This window comes from Homo sapiens, chromosome 3 (genome assembly GCF_000001405.40).
Source record: "Homo sapiens chromosome 3, GRCh38.p14 Primary Assembly".
Taxonomy (NCBI): Eukaryota; Metazoa; Chordata; class Mammalia; order Primates; family Hominidae; genus Homo; species Homo sapiens.
This window is the reverse complement of record NC_000003.12, coordinates 189,716,449-189,742,830: the sequence shown is the minus strand read 5'-3', so window position 1 is coordinate 189,742,830 and position 26,382 is coordinate 189,716,449. Positions and strand designations below refer to the sequence as shown.

The 26,382-nt window shown below is 38.0% G+C and overlaps 1 protein-coding gene across 6 annotated transcripts in view; it reads right to left on the bottom strand.

The window, feature by feature from the left end:
- The window catches only part of TP63 (tumor protein p63), a 300,531-nt gene that overhangs the window by 154,446 nt on the left and 119,703 nt on the right, over positions 1-26,382 (bottom strand). For all 6 annotated transcript variants that reach the window (NM_001329964.2, NM_003722.5, NM_001114978.2 and 3 more), the window contains exons 2-3: positions 4,963-5,091; positions 4,057-4,189 (exon numbers count right to left, since the gene is read on the bottom strand). In NM_001329964.2, the coding sequence (NP_001316893.1) occupies positions 4,057-4,189; positions 4,963-5,091 (262 nt within the window). The remainder of the gene's footprint in view (positions 1-4,056; positions 4,190-4,962; positions 5,092-26,382) is intronic.

Here is a 26,382-nt window from a genome sequence, read left to right as displayed (position 1 = left end):
TAAAAACACATAAACACATATATCTAACTACTTTTCATAGATAATTTTACACACATTTGCCTTTTCTGCTGTGTTATCGTCTTCTCAAGGATATCATGGTCTGTGTCACAAAGATCATAGGTGCAAAATTGTTATGGCTAGACCTACTGTATGTGCTTGAAATATATATGAATCTTGGATTATATAAGATGTAGGGCACTACGCTAAGGGCTGTTGCCTAAGCCTTTCCAGACACAAATAAGCTACATAGATATTGGTCTTTTGATACTTAGAGCTGAAGCCTCTTCACATATATCTGGGATGATTCAACAAGTATTTACAAAAAGGAATAGTTTTAAATAATTACCACCAACTCCCCAGGGAAAAATCCAATACAGGTTAAAAGGGTTCAAAGTTTACAAGGAATAAAAAAAAAAAAATTGCGAAAGTAAGAGTTATGTAGTTAGCATCAATCAATCTGGGAGAACTTTTAAGTGTTAATATTATTATCTACCTCATGAAGACATGACAGGCATGCTTACACAGTCTATGAATAATACAAAGATGGGATATAAAGTAACTTTTTTTTTTTTTTTTTTTTTTTTTTTGGGATGGAGTTTTGCTCTTGTTGCCCAGGCTGGAGTACAATGGCACAATCTTAGCTCACTGCAACCTCCACCTCCCAGGCTCAAGCGATTCTCCTGCCTCAGCCTCCTGAGTAGCTGGGACTACAGGCACCCGCCACCATGCTCAGCTAATTTTTGTATTTTTAGTAGAGACGGGTATCCACCATGTTGGCCGGGCTGGTCTTGAACTCCTGACCTCAGGTGATCCACACACCTCGGCCTCCCAAAGTGCTGAGATTACAGGCCTGAGCCAATGCACCTGGCCTAAAGTAATATACTTGACAACAGAATCAAGAACCTAGAAGTTCCTTGAAAACAGACTAAAATGTCAAATTTTTTGGAGAGCCTCCACTCACCTTTACTTACTAACCCAATGGAGTTCATTTTTCATTGATACTAAAACAATTCAAATTAAGAAGGCACACATTCTCTGCAATTCAAATATCCTTTGCTAACAATCAGAGCAAAACATGGTGATTCCATTTAATGGCTAGTTATAAATGTTTAGGTTGTATCAAAAAATCAGTAAAACTGGGTTAAATTTCTCAATTTCGAGATTTCTATCCCTAAGAATATGACATGTTTTTTCATGTCTATAAGTTCATATTTCTTGTATGGTGAGAGAATGCTTGGCTACAATCCTTACTTAATGAATATTATATTTAAGAGGAAAGTAGTTTATTTGCAGACTTTAGGAATTATTTAGCTATTAACCTATACGTGGAAAAGAGAAAAGAAAATATGCTACCAAGTAATGGGAAAAAAGACTCTCACACCCGTTGTAGCAGTTCAGAAAGACTAAGAATCTAAAAGGATCCTACTCCCTACTTTCTAAACCAGAACACTAGCTATTAACATCCTGGGTAAGTTTACCATTTTTCCATTCTTGTTATCCAACTCCATTTTTGTGTCCTTCCACATGGACATATATGAGAATATAAAAATGTTGGAATAGTCATAAGGCAAGAGAAGCCCCAGGATTTCTACGTTGTTAGGAATATCTCAGGGTTTTTTTTTTTTTTCCACAGACAGAGCAGCCACAGATAGGCAAGTTTATTCAGTTAAATTCTTTCTCACTCTACCTTTATTTTCCTTTCAATACAGATGCCTCCAAGTGCCCTATTTCATTTACCTCACTGGCAAAACCTCATTTGTTTTCATTTTGTCTTTTAGCTCTCTCCGAATCTCCTACTATGGGGACCTACTATGTACCTTCAAGCACTGGACATGGCAAGTACAGCCCTGTTCTACTTTAGAGAAAAATAAACAACTATGACACTGTGTAAGAAGTAATTACTAGGCATTAAGGGACAAATAAGAATTATCCAGAGAGGAGAAAAAATGTGAATGGTATCCTCAAGGAGAACATTTCCAAGAATACAAGGAAGTAAGAAACAACATGGCACATTAAGACAATACATGCTAAAAACAGGTGTGGTGGCTCATGCCTGTAATCCCAGCACTTTCAGAGGCAAAGGCGAGTGGATCACCTGAGGTCAGGAGTTCGAGACCAGCCTGGCCAACATGGTGAAACCCCGTCTCTACTAAAAATACAAAAATCAGCCGGGTGTGGTGGCACATGCCTGTAATCCCAGCTACTCAGGAGGCTGAGGCAGGAGAATCGCTTGAACCCAGGAGGCGGAGGTTGCAGTGAGCCTAGATTGCGCCACTGCACTCCAACCTGGGCGACAGAGGGAGACCCTGCTCATAAAAAAACAAAAATCAAAAAACAAACAACAATAAAAAACTACGTGCTTCAGTGTGTAAGAGAAAATTCTTCATTTTTTAACTTCTTTAACTTTTTGCCAACTTTTATGAGTCCAAGACTGAGAACAGAAAATCCCTGGAGAGAATACAATAACAGGTTTTCCTAGGCAGATCCTATCCATCAACTTAAGAGATGATATTTTTATGAAAATTGGGAATGTCCTAATTTTTAAGTAACTGTCAAATCAGAGTTTACACATATTTATGTTGAATTATGATATAGTCCAAGGCCTTGAATGACCTGCCCCTTGGAATTATTTGATAGTTTCATTTCATTGGCTCAAGGATTGAGAACTATATCTGTATTGGAATGAAAAGAGTCAATGAAAAAGTGTATTTTTCTCTAATCAAATTAGTGACAAAGCATCTATGTATCTGCAGAGTTATAACTTTCTGTTTTTGTTTCCTCTTGCCTTTCTCCAATTGACTTTCTCCCATTGACTTTCTCCCAATATTAAGCAGTACATTCTATATCCAAAAAGTACATAGCAAAAATTCCAGTAAAACATATCAAACAAGGTAAGGCATTTTAAAATCATTCCCCTTAATCTCGTCAACAGATACTCTATGACACCCCGCTGTCTAGCTTCCCCCCACTAGTTTTCTAGAAATTTTTGATAGAAAAGATAGCAGGACTTGTGCCGTAAATAAATGATTAAAAAAAAAAAAAAAAGAAAACCCACCAGCATTATGAAACTGCACAAACACAGGAAATCTAAACATCTCAGGAAGGTGTTTTAATATCATTAACCCATTAAACTCCTTAGCTTACCTGGGAAGTATGTAACACCTATGATCTCACCACTTTATAAATGAGGAACTGGGGCCTAAGATCACGAGTGACTCAGTGGTATAGCCAAGAAAAGCCTGTTTCATGTATTAGTTTTTTTCCTCCCTCTTATTCTGTTACCAGGTACTTAAACCTGCATATGCACATAGAATTCATGTGCATAAATTCCTCCTGCATTAAAGAAGGATAGAGAAGTTGTTTGTCATAGTAGGAAGTGCCCTGGATAGGATTCAGATCTAAAAATCTGATTCTTTGCCAGCCACAGTGGCTCACACCTGTAATCCCAGCACTTTGGGAGGCTGAGGTGGGCAGATCACAGGAAGGCAAGAGTTCGAGACCAGCTTGGCCAACATGGCGAAACCCTGCCTCTCCTAAAAATACAAAAATTAGCCAGGTGTGGTGGTGCATGTCTGTAATCCCAGCTAATTGGGAGACTGAGTCAGCAAAATCACTTGAATCAGGGAAGCAGAGGTTGCAATGAGCTGAGATCCTGCCACTGCACTCCAGCCTGGGTGACAGAGTAAGATTCTGTCAAATAAATAAATATATAAATAAAATAAATTTCTGATTCTTTTGCTGTCCCTACCAGCTAGAAAGCCTTGAGCTGGTACCATCTTTTCTAAATTGGGGTTGACATGAGGAACAATCAAGATAAAAGATGTAAAGAATCTCCCTCCCCACACGGATGGAAACACATATATTATAGATATTTGCGGCAGACCCAGAATGCATAATCCACACCAAATCTTCTCTCAGCTAACAACATAGACTCTCTTCCCAAAGGCCTTGGCCATTCAGAGCCACCTGCCTTTTCACACATGACTGAAAAGACAGGTTTAACAGAGCTATAGATAGCATGGCCCAAAGACTGAAGAGAAAGCCTGTGCCACTCACCCACATGGGGTCACTCAGGTCCGAGTCCTGCATGCGGATACAGTCCATGCTAATCTCAATCTTGTTTGTCGCACCATCTTCTGATGGTTCATCCACAAAGTTCAAGTCAATGGGCTGAACTGAACATATAGGCCTAACACATAGGAAAGAAAAAAGTGAGTTAGGCATGGAAAGGGACTAAAATATACTCATGCTGTTGTTAACAACAAGCATTTTCTGCTTCAAAGTCAGCAAGGCTCATTGGTTTCTTGGAGTTAGAAACTCTAGGTTTGAGTCCTGGCTCAATCACTTATCAAATGTGTAATTTCAAGCAGTTCAAATCCAACCCCCACTTGTTAAATGAGGATCATGACCTCTGCCCTCCTCAGATAATTACTGGGTAGGATGCAGGAAATAACGGATGTATCTGTGATAGAGTATTTTATACTCGATTCCTAAGGGTCTCCAGTGTGCTGAAATTCTCTTTTCACCTTTTCTTAATTTACTCACTTATCCAAACCTGTTTTAATAAAGAAATAATAATACGTTTCACAGCAAGGTATAAATAAACAACAAAATTTAGTGTTTTATCTTCTCAGTGAGTACCTGCATTATAAAAGTAGATAAGTCTTCAAGCCAAAGGAATGGATTCTGAGTATCAGAGAAACATTGGGGAAGTGAATTTGGTGCAGGAGGCCTTAGGCCCTCCAAAATTACATCACCTTGGATTAGCAAGGATCTTTTGGTGTTAGAAATGGAAAAAAATCACCACTGAATTTGAACAAAGAGATGGCATTGGAGTCATTAACTTTTCCTAAATAACTTCTACTGATTCTAGAAAAAACATGCCCTAGTAAGCAATATTTTGACCACCCACATTTACCTATTTAGCTCAAGCAAAACATTTCTTGCTTGTTTTATACTTACTGTTCCAGAAAATCCCAGATATGCTGGAAAACCTCTGGACTGAGGAATTCATTTGTCTGTGTGCTCTGGGACATGGTGGATCGGTAATAACTTTCTTTCCAAGAGAAATGAGCTGGGGTTTCTACGAAACTTAAAAGGACAAAAATGAAACTAGTATTATACTTTCTGTATTTATGACACTGAATATTTAAATTAAAGCATACTCTATCATGAAAACATCAAGTGAATCTATAAAACCATGCAGGTATATATGTAGCACATGTTACAAGTTGCACAATTGGCATTTCTTCAGGTAGTGTAATGAATCCAATTTTGCCACAAAGTGAGGCAGACCTCCAATGCTAGACAATCTTGTCTTCTATCAAAGCTCTCCTTTCCTAACTAATAATATTATTATGCTCTATACCTCCACTATCCGACATCTGTGTTCTGTAGATTTTGAAAAGAAAATAAACATTTCCTCATTAAATTTGATAGCAAGCCTGACCTATCATTAAACCCATTTTATAATAGTCTCAACTGATTATCTGCCCATTCTGCCACCAGCATGTAAGAAATAGAACCAGGAAACAGAAATGAACTCAGAAAATTTAAATTTTTTCCTCAGATTAGTCATCCCTCCCATAACCGCAATCTTAGAATCACACTCAGGGACAATAAACTCAAACCTGTGGACCTAATATTTTTTAATTTTTTATTGCCAGTTGCTTACCTTGATGTGTGGGTGGTTCTTAATTAAAGTGTAGAATTGCATGTTAGACTTAATAATAAGCAAACATCTGAACACTTTGCAAATGAATCCTATTTCTGTTTGCTTCATTTTGCTGCTGAGCCCTGAAGTTTGCTTTACTTATTTTTTCCAAACATTTATTCCTATATATTTGGAGGAAAACATCAGCTTTCTCAGATGATGCGTTCTCCAAGTCTAAATATTATCCGGGCAGATCATCTTAATATGTGATTTGTTGTGATAATCAGTAGACTAATTTTATCCCAGGATAAAATTAGTTAAGTTCTTAAGTGTTACTGTTCCTGTTATAAAGAATTAGAAAAATACTGTATGAGGATAGTCAATCATCTTCTTAAAATTTCAAATATGTGTTCTGGTCTAGTAATACAGTAGAAGATAATACTATTAGATTTATGAATGCTGATTTCCAAGCTACCTGCAATAGCACATTCATTTGCTCAAGTTAAACATGCATAGAGGACTTATTTGCCAGGAAGCATAATGGAAACTGGAAATAAAAAGTGTATAATACTGTCTCATCTTCTAGGAATTGATGGTATAGAAGGAAAGACAGGAAAACAAACCTACAGTAAATGTGTTAGCAGTATAGACAGCACTACGAAAACACAAAGATGAACAATGTAATTTTATTTGAAGAATCAAGGAAAGAGCCTTTGCTGATGAAAATTAGGAAGGTCAGGTAAGAGCTAATGGTACACAGTGGGCACTCTATGACAACAGCATAAACAAAACACTATAATGGAAAATAGCCTGGTATGTGTGAGAAAATCACAAGCATCTCTGTGTTAATATTTTGAAAAATTTGGGGCAGAGAATGCTGGGAGATTAAGCCAGAGAGGTAAGAAGAAACTTATATGCTATGTTTTTAAAAAGCCTATGTCTGTACTTATGGTGAGAGAGACAGAGAAAGAGTGTGTGTGTATATTTACATATATCAAAATATATTAAATAATATAGATATATTTATATATTTAAATGATATAAATATATATCATTTAAAATATTCATAAATGATATGTATATTTTAAATAATATATATCTCAAAATATTTTAAATAAATTTTAAATTGAGGAAATTGTAGATTTACATGCAGTTGTAATGAATAATACAGAGAGATCCCATGTACCCTTTACCCAGTTCCCTTGATAGCAACATCTTGTAAAACTACCATATAATATCAAAACTGGGATAGTGACATTGATAAAATCCAGTGACCTGACCCATAAATCCTCAGTTCTATTGTACTTATTCGAATGTGGGTATATATATATGTGTGTGTATTTCATTTTATACAATTTTATCACACGTGTGGAGTAGTGTATCTATCACCACAGTCAGTATTCATGAGACAGACACAGTCAGACTATGCTTTATATTGGTAAATCTGGAAGTTGTGTGATGGAAGAATTTACAGCATGTCAGTTTATGGGTAAAGCGGCTATTTAGAATGTTCCTGCATCAGTTAAGGTAAGACAACAAAAGGGCAAAATCAATGGGAATGGAGATGATAGGGACAAAGTCAATTATTAGTAAAAAGGCTAAATCAGATATTGGTTGTGTTACTAATGAAGGGAGAATGAAGAGTGAAAGATGACTTTAAGTTTCCAGCTTGATTGAACCGTGTGGTTGATGATTCCACTAACTACATCAGTAAGTATAGTTGGAGGATCTGGCTTGAAGAAAGAGAGATGATAAACTGCATTTTAGCATGCTGAGTTTTAAGTACCTAGGGATATGAAAAAAGTGAAACCAACTTAAATAAGCCTTAAACTCTAGGAAGAAAAATAGACCAAAAGTTTAGAAACAGAAATCTTCCTCATAGGGGAAAAATGAATCTGTGAGCGTGGATAAAACGACCTGTGCAGAATAGGTGCAATGAGAAAAGGCACGTGGGGCTCCACTTAGAAAACCTGAGAACTAACAGACCCTGAGAAGTTTATGGTATTTTAGAAGCCAAGGTAAAAACAAAATGAAAAGTAATCAACAGTACTCAATGGCAATGGGATCTAGGAAGATAAGACCTCAAAAATACCTACTAGATTTGACATAAGGAGGTCATTCGCAACCTTGACATTAGAACCTTCTGTAGATTAATGACACCCTCAAAATATTTTAGTGTTTTGAGGAGTAAATGGGGGTGTGCAAAAGAAATGTTTTTTTGGATACAATTGGATTAGAAGAACCTGAATTATGCCTAAAGAGGAAGGAGCTAGTGTGGAGAGAGAAAATTTCAAGATCCTGGAAAGAAAGGGAATGGCATGGTAAGAAATCCTGGAATAGGCAGGTTGGAAAAGGTCAAGGCATAGGTAGAGAGGACTGTCTTGAACTAAAACCCCTTAATCCCTCACTCTAGGATGAAGTAGATGGCAAAATTAAGTACAGATATAAAGGTTTTCATAGAAGATAAATAGAAGTCAAGGCTGATGACTTCGATTTTCTTGATGAAGCAGGAGGAAGACAAGGCCATCTGCTGAAAATTGAGTGGGTCAGACATTAAGTGACTATCTGGGAAAAAAGGGTGAGGGTTTAGAAATGTGAATCAGTTTAGAAAACATGAATTTGTCATCTCCCAACCTACACAGTTAAGTGATTATCTCCAGCTTATACCACTGGGGAAGGGAACAAACAAAATAGATAAAAACAATACTACTGTTGTTTCACTGAATAGGTTACATCAGAGAATTAAGGGAATTGTAAAGACTAGCTTTGGATTCAGACTGGAGAGGGCAGGAAGAGGGTCCAGGGCAAGGAAACCCTGTCTCTTCCAAAAATACAAAAATTAGCTGGGCTTGGCGGCCGGTGCCTGTAATCCCAGCTATTCGAGAGGCTGAGGCAGGAGAATCGCTTGAACCCAAGAGGCAGAGGTGGCAGTGTGCCAAGATTGAGCCACTGCATGCCAGCCTGGGCGACAAGAGTGAAATTCTGTCTCAAAAAAAAAAAAAAAAAGAAGGGAGGGAGGGAGGGAGGGACGGAGGGAGGGAGGGAGGGAAAGAGAGAAAGAGAGAGAGAGAAAGAAAGAGAAAGTAAAGAAAGAGAGAAAGAAAGAAAAGAAAGAAAAAGAAAGAGAGAAAGAAAAAGAAAGAAAAGAAAGAAAGGAAGAAAACTATGTCTCTATGAGGTCAAAACAGAGTTATATAGGGAAGGAATTAACAAAGTTAAATTGGTAGAAATGGGAGAGTGGGGTATGAGAATTAAGGAGGTCCCTATAATTAGAAGACCATCTGATAATCCTGTATCTTTAAATTAAAAGGGTATATTAATTTTCTTCACTTCTCTTTTGAGATTGTGGCTGACTTGGTTTATTTACTGCCAAATAGTAAGTAGAGAAGAAGTAAAAGTTGATAGATTTAACGTTGAAGTGAAACTTATAAATACTCTCAAGATGACACTTTTGAATATGTTTGATTTACACTAAAATTTGTCTTCAGATAAAACTGAAATATAGGAAAAAATAAAAGTAAATGCAATCATAGCAAATGTCAAAAACAGAAATGAACAAAGGCATGAATTATTCCAAAACCAAAATGCAGATAAACTCCCATATGAGTGGTCATATACACGGACCCATAAGGACATCCCCAACATCCAAAGATCCAAACGGGATGCCTGATAGCTCGAAAGCCAGGTGAGCACTAGAAGGTAAACATCACCACACAAATAGGCTCTCAACAATAATGATATTAGTGTGTGAGATTCGAAAAAGTATGAGTTTTTAAGTTGGCAGAAATGTAGATTTAGTTTCTAAAGAGACTGATAGATAATGTGACCAACATCTTCAATAATAAAGACCAAGGCAGATTCAGAAAAGAGTGTTACATAGAAGGAAGACATCATCTCTAAGGCAGAAGAGAGAAAAACAGCACTGGTTCCATACTCATCATCTATTTCTATAATTTCCCTTATTTCCACATAGTAAGTTCTGGTTCCTGTCTGTAATTACTTTGTTATTTTTTTTGTTTTGCTTTTATCCCTAGGTTCTTACTCCTAAAAGTCATTTCCCTGTATTTCTAATGTCACCATAATCAGCTGTGAAAACTTGAACAAGCCTCCAGACTCCTCAAACTTCAGCTTCCTTGCACGTGACAGCATGGAGACCAGGATCTCCACCCCACTGCCTTTCCCATGCCTACCCAACCCTCAGTGCTCTCTTCCTTACTTAGTACTTCCTAGTTCCTAATTTAAGTATAATTTTTCTCCTTTGAATTTTGTTCTTTTATTTCATCTCATCAATGCTACTCTGTCCTACTTTGCTTGTTCAACAATTAACCTGCTGCAGAGGATTTTAGGTAATTTGTGGGTGAAACATCTCTCTCTCAGCTCTGTATTTCTTGTGGTTTTACAGCTCCTTGAGGATAGAGTTGAAGAATTGCAAGTTTTGGAATGGGGCTGACCTAGGTTCAATCTCAGTTCTGCTAATGACATGCTTTGAGGCCATGGCCAAGTTACTCAATGCCTTTGAACCTTAGTTTCTTCAACTATGCTTCCCTCAGAAGGTGGTTGAGAGGCTTTCTTTAAATGTGCAACATAATTGTCATACAGCGCCTGGTAGTCAATGCATTGGTTCTACCACAAAACGCGCTACATCGTTTGCATCCAGGACATACTTGCTGAATTAAACTGATTAGATAGTGTGTTTGAATGGTCTGTTTGAGTTTTTAAAGTGTCACATAAAAATAAAGTAATTATATGAAACCTATCCCTCCCTTCCATCTGTAACCTTGGGTCAAAACAATACCCTCATCACCACTCATTTTCTTCTAGATCATTTTTGTCTTAGACTGGCTACATTAAATGAGGCAACTTTACTCCTCTCAGGGCTTCAAGGGGGCTTTATTACAAAAGACAGGGGTGGTGGAGGGGAGTTGGAATAGATCAGTCATTTTCAGCTTGTGTTTCCAGATATCCTCAGTTTCCTGGTGACTCAGTGTGTTCACCAGAGGTAAAGAAACAGCCATTGTCGGTGGGACTTGATACACACCTCCTTAACACCATGAAGTTCAGCTTTTTCTTGTCTAAGGTATATTAGGGTTCTGAACAAAAGTCCAGTTAAAGAAAGTGTCTGTTTCTTAAAAATAAAAAGGAAAGAAAAATTAACGGTCTATGTTAGGGGATTTTCATGGCCTTTTCTTTTCATGCTCAGTATTAATTTCCATTTTATAGATAAATATGTTGAAACATTATTGAGAGAAAAAGAGGAAAAAGATTAGCTGGTGCCATAGGGCAAGAAGAGTGAAGCAAATCCTACCTATCTTCCAAGTCTTTACCTTTGGGTGACTCTCAGTATCAATTTACTCATAGAACAATCATTCTGTTCAAAGGTTTTTGTCAAGTCAGTCACACCTAAAGATAGAAAGCCCGAAGTCAATTTTTTTTTTCTTTTCAAGTTGTTTTTCTTGGATTAACTGTCTTACACTCTGCATTAATTCAGGAAGAAAGAACTTTACAGAAGTGAACTGAAAACATCAAGAGGTTTCTGCCAATGGTCTGCACTCCCTCTTGCTTTGCCTGTTCTTCCCTAAATGTTGTCATTTTAGTCTGTTGCACCTTTATTTTCTGTCAGTGTGCTTGAAAATCTCCACATCTCTAAAATTTCAGATTCCAAACAACCTTAGCTGCATAGATGGGTTTTAGAAATAATAGACCTGAGAGGTCGTCTAGCTTAGTTTTTCTAATTTAACAGACAGAAAAGCTGAAATCTAAGAAGAACTGGTTCACTGGTTCACACCAGATATATTTCATGAAAACCTAAGTGTTCTTTTTTTTTCTTTTTTTTTGAGATGAAGGCTTTCTCTCTTGCTCAGCCTGGAGTCTTGTGGCACCATCTTGGTTCACTGCAACCTCTGCCTCCTGGGTTCAAGCGATTCTCCTGCCTCAGCCTCCTGAGCAGCTGGGATTACAGGCATGCACCACTGTGCTCGGCTAATTTTTGTATTTTTCGTAGAGATGGGGTTTCACCATGTTGGCCAGGCTGGTCTCAAAACTCCTGACCTCAGGTGGTCCACCTGCCTCAGCTTCCCAGAGCGCTGGGATTACAGGCGTGAGCCAGAGCGCCTGGTGCTAAGTCTTTATCTATAGTCCAATAAGAAAAAAAATTGTGCATCAGAAACAAATTCTTGTCATGAATTGTCTAACCCTTGACTTCTTTTAACAGTTTCCACACTTACTCCCCATTGGAGCATGCAAACTTAAAGCTATAAAACTACAAATAGACTTGATTGTATAGAAACATCAATATAAACTCATTTAACAAAATAAAATAGCACTTAGTAGTGATGCAGACCAGAAGCTCATTGATGCTACTAGATCTCCTGGCTCAAAGGCCTCCTTGACAGGGTGTCAGCAGTTGTAAGAGAGAATGTTGCAGGAGAAATCTCCAATAGAGCAGGCCTGGAGGGACCTCCTCCTCACCAACTGTGATCAAACTGGGATATCCTCATTGGGAGGATGGGATCACAAATAGGTATAAACCTTTGAGGACCTCACAAAATGTCAGCATTTATACATGATGATCTTTACGTTCAGCAAGGATAGGGAAGTTGTTACTCAGGTGTTGGTAATAAATCTGAGATTTAAATTTATATTGTTTCAAATTCGTGCTTTGCTAAATTACATATGTGGCTCCTTATTTTCATTCACCACAAAACTTGGGCAATATGAAGTTTTCATAGTTAAGAGGAATATTTCTTTTTTCTATGAAATAACTAAATATTTTACTAATTCTGTCTCATCAAAATAGTCAGCCTTTTTCCACGATATGACCAGAAAATTGGCATAAGAAAATGGGTAATGATAGGTGAATGATATTTACAGAATGCTTGCCCTTCTGCAGATTCTCAATGTTGCCAGAAGGAACTGACTCTCAAAGGTAATATAAGAAAAGACAGTTAGGATTACTATTGCTCAAGGAAACTTGAGCCCTCAAAGACTCTGGAAGTATCCTCAACCCTTAGATAAAAGTGATTCAAAACTCTAAACATGACTTCTTCCACCTATCCATCCATCCAATTTATCAATCCATCCAATTATTGCTTAAGCCTTCATTATCCACCTCCCTAGATCTTTTGCAAAATGAGTCTTCGGGTTAGCTTCAGAAGCATTCCTGACCACACAATTCCTTTTACATTTTTAGTTCAGAAAACATTCCAATACTTAGAATTTACCCTGCCATTACTATAACTATTCCATCATTAATCATCATACTTAGTTTTGAGGATGCCAAAGAATACCTTGATGCCTTTTAGTGTATTGCCTTTTTATTGTACCTAACAGTGCCCAAGGACCCTGGAGGACTAAATTTATTCATAAACTTGAGATAAATTTGCCTCCAAAACTCACTTGCAAACTCTAAATTAAGCCCATTAGCATCTTTTTTTTTCCTTAGATGGAAATCTTTCCTTTTCAACCTCAAATGGAAAAATATGAAGTTCCTTATCTCTCTACTCATCCCAACTCAAATCCATGTCAGCTTAACTCTCAGAAAACACAACTTCAAAAAATAAAATTCATTTAGAGCATTGTGTATGCCTTAATATCTCAATTTGCCACAATTTGAACAAAAATTCTTATCAAGGAATTTATTTTTATATATTACTGAACCAATATTCTTAAAAAACTCTATTTTGCATATTTCAACACTCATTTCTCCTAGTTACTGGCTTCTTTTCATCTTCAGAAATCTTTTCTCTCCTGACTGACCATGACCTGTCTTAAGATCTGATTGCCCACAGCTTCACGGCTTGCTTCTTCCATGACCTTTTACTGTGCAGTCCAACCGCGAATTTCTCCCATTAAAGTTCTACATATTTAGCCCAAACTTGGCAGTCATTAATTCTGAGGGAGTGTCCTTTTTCTCTCTCAATTATGAAATTCTCTGACGTCTTATGTTTTGTGGCCCATTCTTTATCCTAACCAATTTCTTCCTTAAAGGTAATGATTTCTCTGAATACAATGCCCTTCACTCATGCTCCCCATCCCACTAAACCTCTTGCCTTTTTCATTAGTCAGCATTTTCTAACTTAAAGGACTATGTAATGATCAGCCTTCAAAAGCAGAATTTTCATTAGGTTACTCCTTTTGTGACAGAGAATTTACAGTCATTAACCCTGCATCCTTGACAAAAATCTAATCACCTTTGTCTCTCATTCTTTTGAGCAAACCCTCCTTACAAATTGTTTAGCTAGCTGATATGGTTTGGCTCTGTATCCCCACACAAATCTCACCTTGAATTGTAATAATCCCCATGTGTCAAGGGCAGGACCAGGAGGAAGTAATTGGATCATGGGGGAGGTTCTCCGCCACCTGTGCTGTTCTCCTGAAAATGCGTGAGTCTCATGAGATCTGATGGTTTTATAAGTATCTGGCATTTCCCTGCTTCCACTCATTCTGTCTTCTGCCACCCTGTGAAGAGGTGCCTTCTGCCATTTTGTAAGTTTCCTGAGGCCTCCCCCAGCCATGCACAACTGTGAGTGTATTAAATCTCTTGTCTTTATAAATTACCCAGTCTCAGGTATCTCTTCATAGCAGCATGAAAGCAAACTATTACATCAGCTGTATCCTACAGGTTGTTTTCATCCTTGAGCCCTTACAGATTGACCTTTTACATAATCCACCATCTTCCCCCAAGTCATATTCTTTGCATTTGCCAACACTGAGCTCACCTAGAAAGGATACAATATTTATATATCTTGTTTGGGTTCACACCCTCAACCTGGCATGCTTTAAGTATTCTTGTCCTTAGTTCATTCTATCATAATTTACCCACAAATTTACCCACATTGAAATGGCATTTCCATTTTGTGTATGTAGGTCTGTTGCCTCAACTAATAAGATACTGACACTTAAAAAACATTATTTTCCTTGTTTTTTATTTTTTGGACAGATCCGTAGAAGGGAAAAACTAGAAAGGGCTTTATTTCTCATCATCTCTACTCCTTTTTTTTTTTTTTATAAACGAAACTCATAGGGATTTTACTCATATCCCACAGGAAGTCCACAAGTATCTAGTTCTGGAGCCTAGCCATCCTGGATCCTTAGGCAAAGCTCTTCAGACATAAAGTGTACAGTCAACACTTTTGCAAACTGTACTAACTCCACAAACATAAAACATGTTCTCAAACTTCGCTCTACTATACTAAATTCATCAGTTAATATTCCGAGCCATTTCAGTCTAGAATCTGGCATTTGGTAGAAGACAAAGATAAGGAATACTTGAGTATCTTGTTTAAAATGTCATTTTAGCATTATAGCATGCAAACACAGTAACATGCATGCTTACAAACAGGGTACTTTTTGACAAACTGCCCCCAAATTAGAATTTAGGAGACATTTGAATAAGTGTAATCACCATGACATCAGGTTTGGAATACATTAGGGTTTTACACAACTGTGAACACTTGAAGAAAAATGCATGTAACATCCACGACCCAGATACATGAAAATGGAGCTCAGGAAGGACTATGGGGAAATAGAAACCTGTAGAGGAGGTTTCTTAGGTTTAAAGAATGTGATAAATTGAATTTAGACAAAAAAGAAAAGAAAATATGGAAAAAGAAAAAGTAGAACTTCTTGGAAAAAATTATAAGGCCTAATGGTTGGAAGTACCTTAAGTCATCTAGTCCAAACTCTTAACTTATTAACAGTGATCTTGCAACCTCAGCCGAGCATCTGTACCACATAAGGCTGCTCACTCTTTGTCAGACAACTCAGATTGCTGAATGAGTGATTTAAAAATTGAGGAAAGGTTTACTGCCCTAAAACCTCCAGATACTGGTCTGATTCATGCAGAAAATAATCCAATTGCAGTGGCCTTCAACCTTTTCTCAATTATAGAATCTATTATGGGAATCTGATGACAGTTCTGAACAATCTTACACAATAAACAAAAAAAAGTAAAAATGAAGTATACATACTGACATACATGTAAGTGATTGGGTTTGATTTTCAAAGATTTTATAGACCTTAATCCACTTTCCTAATCCAAGTCCCATAGCTGAAAGCTTAGTGAAGAATCTGCACCATAATCTTTCATCTGGATTAGGTGTTGACAAACTACTACTCACAGGCAAAATCTATCCCACCACCTGTTTTTCTAGGTAAAGTCTTTAAGGACACTGCCATATTTATTTAGGTGTTGGTATATGGCTGCTTTTGAGCTACAACAGCAGAATTCAGGAGTTGCAATAGCAACCATGTGACCTGCAAAGTCAAAAATATTTTCTGGCCCTGTGTAGAAAAAGTTTGCTAACACCTGATGTACATAAAAGACCTTTAAAGATTTTAAAATAAATTGCAGTTTGAGTTAATACTTGTGAAGTTGTAGAAACTTTCTCTTGGACCATTATATGTGGAGTACAAAATAAAGGTGGGAGATCACTGGGCTAATATTTGTCATCCCAGGGAATTACAAGCAATCAGATGTGGACCTGGAAATAAGAAGTGACCCTGGACCAATGAGGCAGGATCCTCGGTTCACACCTGATTTTTTTTATTGTAACTGTTCATGTATTTTTCTTACCATCCTCATTAATATTTTAGCACTTTAAATATGGGATGGTGACCCAATTCATAAAGCATGATATATCACAAAGATATGATTCAATAGTCTATTGCTACATAATGATTCAAACCTGGAATACTTCAGTACAAAATCACTTTCACACATACTCCATTTGATAGTCATATGATGAATTATGTATCATATTGAACCTTAGGAACTTCCTGTTTTGTAGGTTAATGGTGGAATGCTACCAAGTTCATATGGTTCGATGTCATAGAATGAATATTATTGTCAATATTCTACAGCTGAATAACATTAAAATACTTGTCAAGATCACATATTCCATCAATAGCAGCAGACCAAGGTGTTGAGCCTCATTCTTTGGACTGCCGCTACTCAGTGATAAGACGATCGGCCCACCCAGAGAGTAAGACCGAGTGACGTTCATATGGAGGAACAAGATACGTGTTTATGGATTTTTCTTAAATATAAATTTGCCTAATCTGTACATGTTTTATTCCAAACATTCACTAGCAATGATGACAAAATATTCCCCCCCGCCCCACCCAAAATAAACTCTCGCTCTGTTGCCTAGGCTGGAGTGCAATGGCATGATCTCGGCTCACTGCAACCTCCGGCTCTTGGGTTCAAGCAATTCTCCTGCCCCAGCCTCTCAAGTAGCTGGGATTACAGGTGCGTGCCAGCACGCCCAGCTGATTTTTGTATTTTTTAGTAGAGATGGGGTTTCACCATGTTGGTCAGGTTGATCTCCAGCTCCTGATCTCATGATCTGCCCACCTCAGCCTCTCCAAGTGCTGGGATTACAGGTGTGAGCCACCACACCCGGCCTGCAAAATAATTTTACATTTGTATTGGCTATGTATGTGTTGCACTGAAGAATCAGTAGTAACAAAGAACCATGGCAGAAAGCTGAGAATTCACACACTCACATTCCGAAGCAGGATTTCCTCCCCCACCATCTGCCCCCATATTGCTAAATTCCCTCGTGTGGTTCCCTTCAAAGTGAAGGAAATATATATTTTCACCTGTCCTGACTTTATTTGTTCCAACTCTTGGTAGTAAAATAGCTTAAATCAGAGTCTTTAAAATGTACTTTATCACAACGGGATACGTATTATTAAGTTTTGGTGGCATAAAAATAGAAGTTTTAAACTTTAAAATTAGTCATCTTGCCATTCAGGAACAATTTCCTTTTATATATTAATTTTTACATATTTATATTCCTAGTCCCGATAAGTCCTATGTTTTATTTTTTAAATTTTCTGTCGATTATGCTTTAACCCTATTTGAAAGTGGACTTTACAGGGTCTGTCTTGTGTATAAACTTCACATTACCATGTTTACCTAATTCCTTAACATTCAAAGTAATAATTATATATACTATGTCTGTTTTAATTATTTGTCCTGGTAAATTTCATTTTTAGTAAATTAAATACACAAAATTGACTAAAGACAGGAAATGTGGTTTATATAAATCACAACCTTTAGACTTTTTTTCACAATGAGGTATAACACCTTGAAAAAATAGTATCTAGCAGTAAAGTCTGATACAAATCATAAGGATTTATTTATTAAGCAACACATTTGTGCAAATCATGGTGAGAAGTAAGGGAGAAAAAGAAATCGATTGCTGGTTTATCCTTGCCCCATATTTTTTAAATATCAATTATCCGAGACTGTGTTATATATTTACATGTTGATTGTTAGTCTCTCCCGTACCCCCATCCACCCCACTGCCTGAAGAATGTAAGCTTAACATGAGCTGATTGCCCCGTTCCCGGATGCATCCCCCAAGGCCTGGAACAGTGCTCAGCACGAAGGTGTTCCATAACCATAATGCTTGTGAATACAGAATGTGAACAGAGGAGATGGAGGGGATTTGAATCCCAGGTGCATTTAATTGTATTTGTCTTCCACTCTTGCAAAACATCTCTGTTAGTTATTGCCCCAGCTCCACTGTAGAGATGCAAAGAAATTATTAGAGAATGTCATTCTAAGTGAAGTAACCCAGGAATGGAAAAACAAACAGCATATGTTCTCACTCATAAGTGGGAGCTAAGCCATGCGGATGCAAAGGCAGAAGAATGACACAATGGACTTTGGGGAGCCGGGGAAAGGGTGGGAAGAGGGTGAGGGATAAAAGACTACAAATCGGGTTCAGTGTATACTACTTGGGGGATGAGCGCAGCAGAATCTCACAAATCACCTCTAAAAAACTTACTTATGTAACCAAACACTACCTGTTCCCCAATAACCTATGAAAATAAATCATTATTAAGAATTAAATATAATATAAATTACATACCACAAAAAAGTAATGAACAATTAGGGAAACTTTAACACTATAGAACCTTGAAGATACATTTATATCTCGCATCCCTACACATAACAGAATTCCTAATATAACAACTGGGCATTCATAAACATTTGTTGAATGGATGAATGGCTTAATTTATACAGCCTGAAAGGGTTAGTATAAAAATATAGGTTGGATAACTCCTAAGTCTTTATTCTTTCTGGTATATTGCAATGACCTCTGTGAGGAGTGGAGTGGATATTTGCAACAATGAGACAAAAAAAAAAAAAAAAAAATGAAAGCCAGGCACAAAAACAAAAAAGTACTTGCAAAAGCCCCTGAGGATTTTGGTGTGATAACACAACCCAGAAAATAAAGTTCCCCATGGTAATCCTGAGGGTGCACACTATTTTTGGCTTAAAAAGTAAGTATGTATTATATTCAGAAATGTCTATCTTCCAATACAAAAAGAAACATAAAATGCTATCTAACAAGTATATGTTCAACTATTATAGAAAACTCAGCTACCCAGAATAATGTATTTCTTAAGGATACCTGGTAGATAAGTTTTGTTTTTACTAAATCATCAGGGCACATTTTGTTCCTCTCTGATCAGAATTACATTTTGTCTATGGTACAGATCTTTATTTACAGTTCCTACCTGACTGGTTGGTTCATGGAGAGAAAAACCAAATTTTAGTTTCTGGCCTTTGTGGGTTCACAGATTAGCACAGTATATGGCACAGAGGGGGTGTCAAACAAATGTTTGTTGAATAAAATATTTGAAAAGGACAAGTAACAATGCTAACATCAATAAGAGAATCGATAGCTATCATTTGATTGTTTCCATGAGCAAAGTATCTGCAATATGCCTGACAGGCATTGTTTAATTTTCACAACATCCCTTGAATTAGATACCAACATGAACCCATTTAATAGATAAGAAAAATGCTCAAACTCACATGGTAACCGGGAGAATGGTAACTCTGGGTTCCTAAGGATATGGCTTCAGAGTCCCTAGTCTGTCATTCACAAGGTTAATAACTTTGGGCGAGCTATGCAACCTCTCTAACCTTCAATTTCCATATCTGTAATGGTGAGAAGGAGAATCCAGTAGTAACTATATCACTGAAGGAAAAAAAGGTCTTGACTCTTTACCTTAGGTTACTCCACTTCCCCAGTAAGGAGCGGTAGGTGTCACACTTTACAGTTCAACAGAAATACTTGGGAGTACATCTGGAAAATGCCAGTTCCTTGTCCCTTCCTCCAAGAGATTCTGTTTCAAATGATCTGGACTGAGGCTTACAAATCTGCACTTTAAACAAACTGCACTTGAAAACACATGGCTTCAGTATTCACCTAAATTCTAATGTTTAGAGTTTTATTAAAGACAGAGCACTTTAATAAGTCTGCATTTTCTCTAAATATCTGTCCTCAAATAGACAAGATTTCAGTCTTATTCACTGTGATGTCACTTTAATACTTGAACAAAATAGTATGATGTAATAATTATAATTAATATAACACATACTGCATGCTGGGCATTGATCTAAGTGCCTTACGAATATTTAATCCTCCCAACAAAACATGAGAAAGTTGGTGTTTTATACACACCCACGTTTACTAGGTGTATAACTTTGGGGAAGGTACATGAGCTTTCTGCGCCTGGAGTAGTTCTTAACTATCACACTGTGCACTGTGCGGACTCTCCTAGGAGTGAACAGAGTTCAGAGCCCTGCCTTACAGGCCCAATGCGTTCACTGGCTGGGATCTTGGGCAAGTCCCTGCCCCTGTTTGGGATTCAAGTTCCTCCTCTGTGAAGTGAAGGGGTTGATTCCCCTGAGCTCTAAGGCCCTCTGGTCCAAAGATTCTATCGTGCATTTTACAGGAGACTTTTGACCTTGTTATCAGATGAACTACAGCCCAAGGATTGCTGACACTAAAGACGCGCTTATCCTTCTAAGGCTGCTCCCTTATTATTTTTCCTTACCTGCCAATTCCAAACACTTCCTGCTGAGTTATTTGTCCTCTGTCATTCCTTTATGCTGAGGAAACCACATATACTTCAGTCTAGAGAGGGTAGATCAGCGTCTTCACGGAATTCTTTCCAAGCCCTGCTGTCTTTGTTTAATCTGGCCCCCAGAGAGCTTCCACCTGAGCCTGTTTGAACCTCATTACTCTCCTAGGAAGGCTCACCAGTTTCTTGTCTCTCCTTTCCTACTCTCCTCTTAAGCAATGACATTCTTCTGACCTAATTCATCCTCAGTAAGATCTCTCCAATCCATCCTTCCTACTTCTCTACTTTCTTGCTGTTGTTTAATTCCAGGCTTAAACCTTCAGGCTTCCTTTAGCCCTGTATTTCTCAAAGCTGGCTACACATTAGAATATCTGGGATGCTTAAAATACAGATGCCTGGGCACTACCCCAGTTCAATTAAATCAGAATTTCCCAGACTTAAATCTGAGCTGGAATATTACTTAAAAGTCTAGAAATTCCACAAGAGATTGTAATGCTTGGTGAGGTTCAGAACCATTGCTGTCTAGACTTAAGGAGTCTCAAGTGGCGAGGATAAGCAAATCGAAATCACCTGGGCAGCTGGATACTCCTTACGCCCAGGGAGGTAAGTCTGGGCATGTGAAACAAGCGAGAGCCTCCCAGGTGGTTTGAAGAAGTCCCTTTATGAAACAAAGTTCTAGCTGAACCTCCAAAGCAAGATGGATCATTATACTTTCCTGCCGCCCACTTCAGCAGAGCAACCCAAGGATTCTTGTTGTGTCTTGCCACCCAGTTAATATTTCCAATCACAACGGGCAATGCAGAGAAAAAAAAAAAAGCACCTGATAGATCCATATATTTTTCACTGTCTGCCCTAACTAGCCAGGTAACTACGGGGGAATCCCTTTCTCTCTCTAGTTTTCATTTCCCCCATGTGTAATAGAAGGTTATTGTATTACTAGAAAATACTAGAAAATCACTAAGCATCCTTCCTACTTTATTATTCTATTATTGGAAGGCCCACAACCTATTGTTCCTCTCTCTGTTACACAAGTAGCCCTAGTTCTTTCAACATTCAGCTGATGACAGGCAATTCATCTGAGAAAATCTATTCACGACTTCTGGTAAAGACGGTCCACTGTAAACCAATAACTACTGCTGCAAAGACTTCTTCAAACTTCCTACTGCACCAAAAACTCTCTGCCTAAATTGCAGATCAGGCCTCTAAATCTCTGCAAAGATCTTCCCTGTCAGTGTCCTCTTATAGCAACTTCATCGGAAGCCAATCACCTCCTACAGGCAAATGCCTTTATGGACATGACTGGGAGAGACTTGTTTACGAATAGGCCCTCTGGCCTCACCCCTCCAGCTGTCCAGTGGTGCACAGAAGGTAATTCCAGTGTGATTGCCATGTGGCTGCTGGGAGCCTTCTCTTTGTTTGCTGTCTCTTAGTGTGAGATGGCTGAGTCTGTTAGGAGATGCTGGATAATGAATGTGTAGCAGAGTCTCTCCCTATCTCCCTATCTGCTCCCTGCCAGCCTCCAGTCTTCTTCTTTTTTTTTTTTTTTTTTTTTCTGAGACGGAGTTTCACTCTTGTTGCCCAGGCTGGAGTGCAATGGCATAGTCTCAGCTCACTGCAACCTTCACCTCCTGGGTTCAAGTGATTATCCTGCCTCAGCCTCCTGAGTAGCTGGGATTACAGGCATGTGCCACCACGCCCGGCTAATTTTGTATTTTTCGTAGAGACGGGGTTTCTCCATGTTGACCAGGCTGGTCTTGAACTCCTGACCTCAGGTGATCTGCCCGCCTCAGCCTCCCAAAGTGCTGGGATTCAGTCTTCTTTAATGGAAGAGATGCACTATCTAAAGTTATTGGAGACAGGATGGTCTTTAAGGCCTTGTCTAATGAGAACATTCTATGTACAATGTATGAGAAGTTTTTTCACAAGTAAATGAAATATACTTAAGCCAATAATGATAATAAAAATAATATTTAACAGGATAAACATTTAAAATCAGGAGTGTTCACAAGCTTTGATCTTCCCTTCAATGATTCTTCCTCCTTGGCCTGGTTCTTTGATTTCTGTATCTGAGAATGATGGAGGGAGAAGACAGATGAACAAATTTAGCAATGATGCTTTAGTCTACCTACAAAACAAAGAGCTCTGAGACAGAGGTGGCGTGGAAAAAATGAAAACCTTGTGGGCCGAGCTTGCTGGGGGCAAGAATTTGAGACAGGGTTTGGCAGAGGAAAAATGAATAGATTGTAGCTTGTGAAGGCAGGAGAGAAGAGTAAACAGTGAAAACTGCTACTGAAGATTACTAACTGGATCTTCTTTAATATCCTTTTAGAAACAGAATAAATGAGATTAAATGAATAAAAATCCTTTTAAGGTTTATGTGATTGTTCAATGCTTCTCAAATGCAGTACTTAGAGGACAAACCCAGGCTTTATCTACATTTCAAGAAAGAAATTTGCTTTTTAAAGTTCATAGAGAAAAAGAGGAGCATAATTCCAAAGAAAAGCGCTCACGAAGGAGATCTGGCTCAAGAAAAACAGAAGACTCTCTGAAATAGGGATCTACAAACTGCTACCCACATACTCTCATCTGTTTTTGCAGCGTGTTTAAGCCATGCTCATTTGTTTAGGTGTAGTCTATGACTGCTTTCAACCTGCGACGGCAGAGCTGAGTAGCTGTGACAGAGACCGCATGGCCTGCAAAGCTGAAAATATTCAATCTGATTTTTTTACAGAAAAACTTTGCTGGACTAGACTCGAAGATAACATTTTATGGCATGATAATGCCATAAAATGGAGGGACTAGATGTGTTGATTGGTCAGGTAGAACTTTACAAAAGAAATCTGGAGGAATAAACAGATTTCTGATACATCGGATGCAAAAAGAATAGATATGAAAGAGTGAATATGGGCACATAATCAAGGAGAGCCAACTGAGCATCATGGACTCTGCAAGCGCAGATTAGGAAGCTTATAACTAAGGACAAGTTTGAGTATTTTCAAAAAAGGCTACCGATTCGTTTTAAAATAAATGATCTGAGTATGTACAAAAGAAAGTTGTGATTGCTAGGAGCTGCCTGGCTTCCCAAAGAACAAGTTCTCTCACTTTTACCAAACCGAGAACACCGTTTTTCTGTGGGCAGGTTTTTCCTTCGTGCGTCTATGGCTTTTGTCCTTGTCTGCATCTGTGAGTTTTGTTCTTGCTGCTATTTTCCTCTTACCCTACACTTCAATTACGGCAACCGAGAAATTTGTGCTTTTTCATTCAGTTATGTCTGAGAGATGTCAGAGCTCCTCACAAAGAGCTAGAGACATTCATATTCCGAAGTATTCTTTATGTTCTTCACATATTCTTTATATTCTTATTTCTGTTAAATATACCCCTCTCCAAAAGTATAGGCTACATTGTTTTTTTGTTTTTGTTTTTTTAGATAAATGATTCAAAGTAAAGCTCAAAAGTAATTTCCATCTTTTTCCACCTTTCCCAAAAATGACAATCCCATCTTACATGTATAGGTTCTCTACCCCCAAGGAAAACTGAATCACTTATATTAGTTGGCTAACTTAACAATATTATATGTTTACATGTTTCTTTAACAATTGAAACATTGAATTTCTAAATGATGTGATAAAGGTCTTTACACTTAGCCTGCTAAATGTTATTTATGCAGTATTTTCAGGTGATATGGTTTGGCTCTCTCTCCCCACCCAAATCTTGTCCTCACATGTCAGGGGAGGGATCTGATGGGAGGTGATTGGATCACGGTGACAGTTTCCCCCATGCCATTCTCATGACAGTGAGTGACCGCTCACAAGATCTGATGGTTTAAAAGTGTTTGGTAGTTCCCCCATCGTGCCACCCTGCAAAACACGCCTTCCTTCCCCTTTGCCTTCTGTCATGGTTGTCAGTTTCCTGAGGTCTTCCCAGTCTTGTGAAACTCTGTCTGAGTCAATCAAACCTCTTTTGTTTGTAAATTCCCAGTCTCAGGTAGTCCTTTATAGCACTGTGAAAACAAACTAATACATCAGGTTTATTTTTCCCTTTAAATAATTCTTTCCAAAATAAACACAAGATCACTCCTATCCCAGGAACATGTGTCCCCTTATTCAATCATGGCTTTCTGGTCACTGCAAAGTTGTCCCTAGGAGTTTTCTCCACACACTTGGGAATCAAAATCCATCACTTGTAGATGCTTGTGATATATCCTTGTAGGTTACCCTCTGTAAAGATTGGCATTTGTTTTTGTTTTTCCAATATAGACCTTCCTCCATCAGCGCATTCTCTTATGTTGTTATCTTTCTTGAATAATTTTCCATTTTAGATTCTTGGAGTCTGACAGAAATAGTGGATTATATAGCAAGGTTTCTCATTTTTCCACATTAACACATTCTTTAATTCTATCCCTTGCATTTAATATGTTTCCTGTTACTACTAACTCTATGTCTTCCCTTTCTAAGCTCAGGGTAAAGACTGACTTTTGGAGGCTGGGTCCAATTTCAAGCTAAAAGAAAAAAAGAACACAAAGAAAACTGCTTTAAAGGAAAGGGCTTATGCAGCACAGAAGAGATATCCTCAAGCCTAATTCCCAGATTTTGCAGAAGCATTAAGCAGCTTAGGGACTGAACAAGCATGATTACTTTTGGTTAATGAGACCAACTTCATTTAATCAGGATGTCTACAATCCTAATTTCAGATTTTATCTGTGACCTACAGGCTTGTGAGGTCATATTTTTAGTGTATTGAGTTTAAAGAAATTCAAATTCAGTATAGCTATATGAAAACAGTATAGCTGTTCTCATTTCTTATCCCATCCAGATGCTTCTGGAAGCAGTCAGCTTCCCAAATCTTAGCTAATAAGCAAATTATTATTCAAAGTTATTGTGTTTGTCAAAAGTTACATGACACACTCTCTCAAGCTGGTCTCTTGATCAGTGTGGAAGATGATATTTAGTACATTATTTATTATGAAATTATCTGTGATTGATCCAGATGAAGCATGTGTTTGCATGTTGGAAAGGTTATTAAATAGTGATAATAACTCTTTAATTTCAGAGATGTTGAAACATGGGAGCAGCTTTAGGACAGCAAACACTGTGTGTGTGTGTGTGTACATATTTGTTTAGTTCGTATACGTGTATGTTGATATTTCAGTTGTTGCAATTGATAGTGTGAATTAGATAGAAAGTTACTAAGAGGCTGGGTGCAGTGACTCACTCCTGTAATCCCAGCACTTTGGGAGCCCAAGGCGGGCAGATCACCTGAGGTTGGGAGTTCTAGACCAGCCTGGTCAACATGGTGAAACCCAGTCTCTACTGAAAATACAAAATTAGCTGGGTGCGGTGGCAATCGCCTGTAGTCCCAGCTACTTGGGAGGCTGAGACAGGAGAATCACTTGAAGCTGAGAGGTGGAGGCTGCAATGAGCCGAGATTGCGCCACTGCACTACAGCCTGGGTGAGACAGAGCAAGACTCCATCTAAAAAAAAAAAAGATACTAAGAGATTCTGATAGCTCTTCCTAGGAGAAGAAAAGTGCTTATCATGAAGTAGATGAACTGAAAAAATTTCAGATAAGATAGACTAGTGCCAAAGGGGAAAAAGAATGCAACTGAGGAACTGTTTGTTTATTTTGGTTCCTTTAAAAATGTTGGGCTATAAAATTCAGAATATCATAAAATTCCGCAGTCCTTTCCGAGTAAGAACTATGGATTTCTTGCATCTCCACTGTGTTTACTGATGTGAAAGCTGAAAATTTCCTTTCCTAATGACACCATTCCAATGTTGGGACTGAGTGAGAAAGATGATTGGCAAATTCTCTCTCTTTAAAAGGGAAGGGATCATGGAAG